Below are 6,731 nucleotides of genomic sequence, written 5' to 3' on the forward strand. Positions count from 1 at the left end.
GGAAACAAAGCCCTCTCAAATCTGAATATGTGTTTCACGAGGAGAGAGAGAGCAGCAGAGGGGACCACGAGGAAGGCAGAGATTCCCTGACGACCTCATGCCTTTGTACACCACTCGCCTTTACTCTCTGGATTAAACAGCATTAGGGAGACAAGAGAGGAAACACATGTGGTGTCTGGAGACCTGTGCCTGCCTGTTCCAGTCCCACACCCAGTCATCTCACCACACCCTTCACCTCACTTTACCTTCTCCTCCAGCACAGGAACTAGGAACTACGGAGAGAGAAGCCAAGGGAGAGGAGGAGGAGGAAACTAACGATTCCCTGCCCACCCCCACACCCAGCACCACCAACAGGTGGGCAAGCTTGCCGAGAAAACGCAGAGGGCATCCTGTGAGCAGCAAACACATCTGAGCCTGGAAAAGACGCAGAGAAGTAAAAGATCAAAGGTGAGGTAGGGGACGTGGAGGAAAGTGGGAGAGACAAAAGGAAAACAAAAAGTGGGGGATCATGAGAAGCAGAGGCAGGAAATAACAGGGCTTCAGACTTGGGTGCAGAATGGAGGTGGAGGACACAGCACAGATGGCATAAGAATTAATATTTCCTTGGTTCCTCCCAGGGAGTCCTTTCTCAACTTTGTAAGGCGTGCACAGAGGTGGCAAGGAAGCACCTTGCTCCTCTTCCTGGTTCTAAGGAAAAGGTGACCTTGAGCCAGTGGGTGTCTTTCCCAGTGCCTGCCTCTAACCCTGTGCTTTCTCCATATCCTCCTCTGGTATCTGTGTTTATTCCGCGGTTTCCCCGCGGCTGCCCCCGGGAGACCGAAGAGGTGGCTGGGGCAGGCCGAAAGCAGAGGAAAGGTTGGGCAGTGTCACCCTTGCACACCCACAGGGTAGACGGATCGAGTTTCAGCTTAAACCGAGGGGTGTGGGGGAAGGGTGTTGGGTTCAGCTAGTCCACGTGGGTGCTGTCCTCCACTTGGTGCTGAAATCTGGGCGGCCACATCCCCGGGGCGGGAGGGGGCTACATCCCCGGCTTTAGACGCGCGAGTCTCAGGTCCCGCTAATTACCTGGCGGGTGCTGCCCACCCCTGCCCTCGCGCACCTAGCGCGGTGGCAGGCGGGAAGGCGGGGCCTGGGGGAGCCCCACCCCTGGAGACTGCGGCTGGGGCCTCCCTCTCCTCCGCCCGCCCGCCTGCCACTAGCTCATTGCGCCTCTCCTGCAGTCTGATTGGCACCGGCTCCCATTCCGGCTCCAGCCTCCAATCCGACCCCCATTTCGGCTGCAGCCTCGGACCTAGCTCCGGCCCTCGGTCTATCCGGTTGCATCCTCCCTCCCTGTTCCGGATCTTATCTTGCGCCAGCGCCTACTCCAGGATCCCGTAGCCAGACCTCAAGCCATGGCTGGTCCCTTCTCCCGTCTGCTGTCCGCCCGCCCGGGACTCAGGCTCCTGGCTTTGGCCGGAGCGGGGTCTCTAGCCGCTGGGTTTCTGCTCCGACCGGAACCTGTACGAGCTGCCAGTGAACGACGGAGGCTGTATCCCCCGAGGTAACAGTGCCTGAGGCGCGGGAGGAGGCGGGGGCAGGAGGTGATGGGAACGAAGGTGCGGGTAGAAGTGAGAATCCGGGCAACAGAGAAGGGCTATAATCACGAAGGCCCTGGAGCTGGAGGGCTGTGCAGTCTGCAGACCTCAGTGGGGTGGGGGTGGGGGCCAAAACCATAAAGCAAGAACATTCCTGGGGACCTGCCAAGACCAGCTCTGGCCCTACGAGTTCTAGCTGCACTGGCTGCCCAAATCCCTAATTGTAAAGCCAGGAACTATCCTTTTCGCTCCCCTCCATCTCCTTCCCTCATTTCCTCAATTCCTCTCCTTAGGCTTTTCCCCTCCTCCATCCGTAGTGTTGTGTCATGGGAGGAAAGAACTGAGCAGATCTGAAGAAACTGAGCTGGCCAGCCAGAGGCAACTAGAACTATTAGGAAAGCATAGACTCTGAAAGTCCCTAAAGAGATTACCAAGGTTTACCCTCTTTCTAATTCCCCCTCCTCCCGCGGAGCAAAGCCAGACATGGCCAACTGGACAGCTCCCAGGTAACTGCACTAGGTCTAGGCGTCTGTGCCCTCCCTCCATGGTTACTGGGTACCCCCTCCCCAGCGCTGAGTACCCAGACCTCCGAAAGCACAACAACTGCATGGCCAGTCACCTGACCCCAGCAGTCTATGCACGGCTCTGCGACAAGACCACACCCACTGGTTGGACGCTAGATCAGTGTATCCAGACTGGCGTGGACAACCCTGGCCACCCCTTCATCAAGACTGTGGGCATGGTGGCTGGAGATGAGGAGACCTATGAGGTAGGGGGTCCCCAGAGTCTCCCTGATGATCCAATTCATCTTCCCAGTAATCCCAGCTCCTTTCCCCTAAAGACCTCTCACTTTCCCCCAAGACTCTGAGCCCCCCATACTTAAGTTTTCTGAACCAGTGAAATCAATGCACAATTGAAGTCTGGGGAGGGATTCCCTCTCCTTAACCATCTCTCCCTCTTAACTCCCCTTAGGTATTTGCTGACCTGTTTGACCCTGTGATCCAAGAGCGACACAATGGATATGACCCCCGGACAATGAAGCACACCACGGATCTAGATGCCAGTAAAGTGAGTTCAAATATCCCACTTCTGATTTGCATTGCCTGTGTACAACACTCTGTATCTCCAACCCCTTCACCTTATTTCCTGACTCATGGTCATTATACAGCTGAGCTTTTAATCTTAATGTAAGGAAAGAATCATATCTTAAGGGGCAGCATATATGGAGATGGAAGGATAGATAAGAATGACCATGACCCAAGGTGGGTGGTTTGGGGAAAGGTCTGCAATGCCCCCTTCAATTCCAGTGCTTTCCCAAAGGGCCTCTTCTTCCAATGCATGCAGGAAGAATGCACAAAGAGTCCTCTAATGCCTAAGGAAGGTCTCTCCTTTCCCAGGGGCCCTCAGTTCCCACCGTGTTTCTGTGACTTACATTCATTTCCCTTATCTCCCAGATCCGTTCTGGCTACTTTGATGAGAGGTATGTATTGTCCTCTAGAGTCAGAACTGGCCGAAGCATCCGAGGACTCAGTCTGCCTCCAGCTTGCACTCGAGCAGAGCGACGAGAGGTGGAACGTGTTGTGGTGGATGCACTGAGTGGCCTGAAGGGTGACCTGGCTGGACGTTACTATAGGCTCAGTGAGATGACAGAGGCTGAACAGCAGCAGCTTATTGATGTGAGGGCCTTAAGAGGGTGCTGGTTGGTGGGAGCAGATGGGGAAGGCTGGGCCAGATGAGACATGGGCTCTGAAAGGCCCAGGGGCCACCATGAAGATTCTTAACCCAAGTCCCGTTACTCTTCCCAGGACCACTTTCTGTTTGATAAGCCTGTGTCCCCGTTGCTGACTGCAGCAGGAATGGCTCGAGACTGGCCAGATGCTCGTGGAATTTGGTATGAAGCTGCTCATTACCTCTTTTGTCTTCATGCCCTCATAAATGCTTTTTTTCCCTCTATCTCTCCCAATTCTTGCCTTGCCTCTTGATCACTGTCCCTCTCCGGCCCTCAGGCACAACAATGAGAAGAGCTTCCTGATCTGGGTGAATGAGGAGGATCATACACGGGTGATCTCCATGGAGAAGGGTGGTAACATGAAGAGAGTGTTTGAAAGATTCTGCCGAGGCCTCAAAGAGGTTAGAGAAGACTATGTAGGGGAGCTAGGTGGGAGGACATAAGGAAAACCAAAGAGTAGCATAAATAGATTATGTAATTTACCAACCAACCCAGGACATGTCTTATAGTAAAAAGGACTATCTAGGACTCACTCCAGGACTAAAGGTGTAAACCAGCTGGGACCATACTGGGAAAACCAGGACATGTGGTCACACTAAGATTAGGAAAAGAAAGAGTGTCAGGAATCTTAGGAAGTGAACAAGGCTGTTGACAGAGAGTGCAAAGAAGGAATAAATGAGATGGCACGTCAGTGCCTGGGATGTGTGCAGTGGGATGGTGAGGTGTGCAGATAAGGAAAACATTCGAGCTTAGATTGATGTTGGCGGGGAGAGGTTGCTGTGTTCATGACTCTAATATAACCACCCAGTTCTGAGACAAGGTAGGCCTTGACTCTGGATTCTATCATTCTTGTTAAAGTATCGGGTCTAGGCTTTAAGTTGAGAGTTCGGAGAGAGACTGGGGAAGGTGGAGGATAGAATGGTTCAAGTTCTAGAATATGTGGCTCTAGATGAGAGGTTGAACTGAATCATCAATCCTACATGGATTGGGTCTCCGTATTCAAGTCTACATTAGAAATCCCCATAAACTCAATTCAATTCTTACTGTATGTTCTCAAACATACAGTTCTATTTTAGGTTTGCAAAGAAAAAGAGCTCCTCTTTTAGATTCTGAGAAGTTTCTACTATTTTTGGCAAGTAATAGATAACATATTCTGACTATGAGTGGGTAGGGAAGTACCTTTAAATTATATGCCTCAGTTTCCTCATCTGTAAAATTGGGATAATGAGATTTTCTACATTTTAGGTTGTTGTGGGGATTAAGTGAAATACAGGTAAAGTACTTGGTCCACAGTAAGTGCTTAATAAGTGTTAAAGTGTTAGCTGCAATATTATTCTGGATGGAAGAGTTTCCCCCCATGTTCAGCATGTAAGATATCCCCTATGGCATGGTTCCTTCTGAACTATAAAGAGGATCCCTTTACTCATGTTGGGTTGTGGTCTTTGTGACCATCATTCTGCTAGATCCCTTGTCTCTTGAACTCTAATAGTCATCTTCATGACTACATGGTTAAGTGAAGCCAAACGCCTTCCCCCCGCCCCCTATTCCTATGAATCTGGCTTTTCTGCTCTGTTTTCATCTTTCTCTGCATTCACACAGGTGCTCCGTTCACAGCTAACAGAATGTTATCTTACCTCTTCCTGGCAAAGCTTACACCTTCATCTTCTGTCTGAAGGGACCCTTCTAAGCTCTAGGCTCATTAGCAAAGCAAAGATAATCGATGCATGCAGACCTCATTGAATAATCAGTCATCTCTCAGTTCAGTTTACCACCTCTGTTCATTTCCCTAGATCATCCTTAATACACCACTCCTTCGAGTTTTCTTCTTCCACATAAGATATTTTTTCACAATCTCATTATTATGCACATCATAATTTTGCATCATGCATGCATGAAAACAATAACAAACCTTTTTCATTTAAAAAAAGACCAATGTCATTCATTCACAGCCAAGTTTCTGTTCTAGACATATTTCTAGTGTTCTTGTGGGTCTAGCTAAGGGAGGGTCCAGGGTTAATGAAATATCCCTGATTTTTCGTTAACAAAACCTTTGTGGACTCAGGTGGAGAGACTTATCCAAGAACGTGGCTGGGAGTTCATGTGGAATGAGCGTTTGGGATACATCTTGACCTGTCCATCTAACCTGGGCACTGGACTTCGGGCAGGAGTGCACATCAAACTGCCCCTGCTAAGCAAAGTAAAGGAGTTGTGGGGTTACAGAGGGGTGTGAGTAAGGAAGGGTGGGTTGTGGATGGGGAGGGAGTGGACCCTTTGGAAAGGAGCCAAACATGTTGTGGCTAAAGGGTCAGAGGACAGGCCAGGCACAGTGGCTCATGCCTCTAATCCCAACACTTGGGAGGCCAAGGCAGGCAGATTACTTGAGCCCAGGAGTTCAAGACCAGCCTGGGCAACCTGGTGAAACCCCATCTCTACTACAAATACAAAAGTTAGCTGGGTGTAGTGGAGGCTGAGGTGAGAGGATCACTTAAGCCTGGGAAGTCGAGGCTTCAGTGAGCTGTGATCACTCCAGCCTGGGTGACAGAGAGAGACCCTGTCTAAAAAAAATTAAAAAAGAAAAAAGAAAAAAGGAAAAAAAAAGTTCAGGAGACAGAGCTCTGAGCAGGTTCAGGGCTCTTTCAGGTAGGACTAGTCTCTGCCTCTATTGACCCTGCTCCCAATCCCTATCTCCTCTCTAGGATAGCCGCTTCCCAAAGATCCTGGAGAACCTAAGACTCCAAAAACGTGGTACTGGAGGAGTGGACACTGCTGCTACAGGCGGTGTCTTTGATATTTCTAATTTGGACCGACTAGGCAAATCAGAGGTGAGATCCTAAGGGATTAGGACAAGGAGAGGTATAGGTCTGCGAGGGCCGAAATATGGCAGTGAGTGAGCCTCCGGGATGTAAGATAATCTGAAATGAAATTCAGGTTGAGTGGGGAGGCAATTGGAAATGAGCAGGCAAGTCAGTCAGTGATAAAGAAAAACTCAGACTGTAGGAAGCAGATCAAAGATTAGTGTCCCTTAGGTGGAGCTGGTGCAACTGGTCATCGATGGAGTAAACTATTTGATTGATTGTGAACGGCGTCTGGAGAGAGGCCAGGATATCCGCATCCCCACACCTGTCATCCACACCAAGCATTAACTCCCCATCGCCAGCTGATGACTCAAGATTCCCAGGAGTTCTGCTCATTCTAATGATGGCCCATTCTACTTGCTCTGGACCTGCCCCCGCATCCCCTGCCTCCATCCTAGTAAAGACTCCTTGCTATGCTGCAGCTGTCTGTGTTACTTCTAATGGTGGGGTGAGGAGGGAGCAGCCTTCAGGAAATGAAAAGAGGCAGTGGGATTATTTATGATGGAAAGAGACTCCAGATATGGCAACCCAGGAACACTGATTCTCAGGTGGGTGGAAAGCATTAACATT

General features: G+C 50.2%; 1 protein-coding gene across 14 annotated transcripts; it reads left to right on the plus strand.

Moving 5' to 3' along the window:
* Window positions 33-6,582, plus strand: CKMT1B (creatine kinase, mitochondrial 1B). 14 transcript variants are annotated; one of them, NR_135750.2, is made up of 10 exons: window positions 33-447; window positions 1,221-1,543; window positions 2,148-2,346; window positions 2,550-2,645; window positions 3,032-3,253; window positions 3,383-3,468; window positions 3,584-3,707; window positions 4,552-5,503; window positions 6,003-6,128; window positions 6,333-6,582. NR_135750.2 is itself a non-coding variant. In XM_011521194.2 (10 exons), exons 2-10 carry the CDS (start codon window positions 1,395-1,397, stop codon window positions 6,447-6,449), a joined length of 1,347 nt encoding a protein of 448 aa, XP_011519496.1. In that variant the 5' UTR covers window positions 33-447; window positions 1,221-1,394; the 3' UTR covers window positions 6,450-6,582. The 14 variants fall into 14 exon arrangements, 9 of the variants coding, with proteins under 9 accessions (XP_011519496.1, NP_066270.1, XP_011519497.1 ...); XM_011521194.2 differs by having other exon boundaries at window positions 2,055-2,346; window positions 5,369-5,503; NM_020990.5 differs by having other exon boundaries at window positions 5,369-5,503.

This window comes from Homo sapiens, chromosome 15 (genome assembly GCF_000001405.40).
Source record: "Homo sapiens chromosome 15, GRCh38.p14 Primary Assembly".
NCBI lineage: Eukaryota > Metazoa > Chordata > Mammalia > Primates > Hominidae > Homo > Homo sapiens.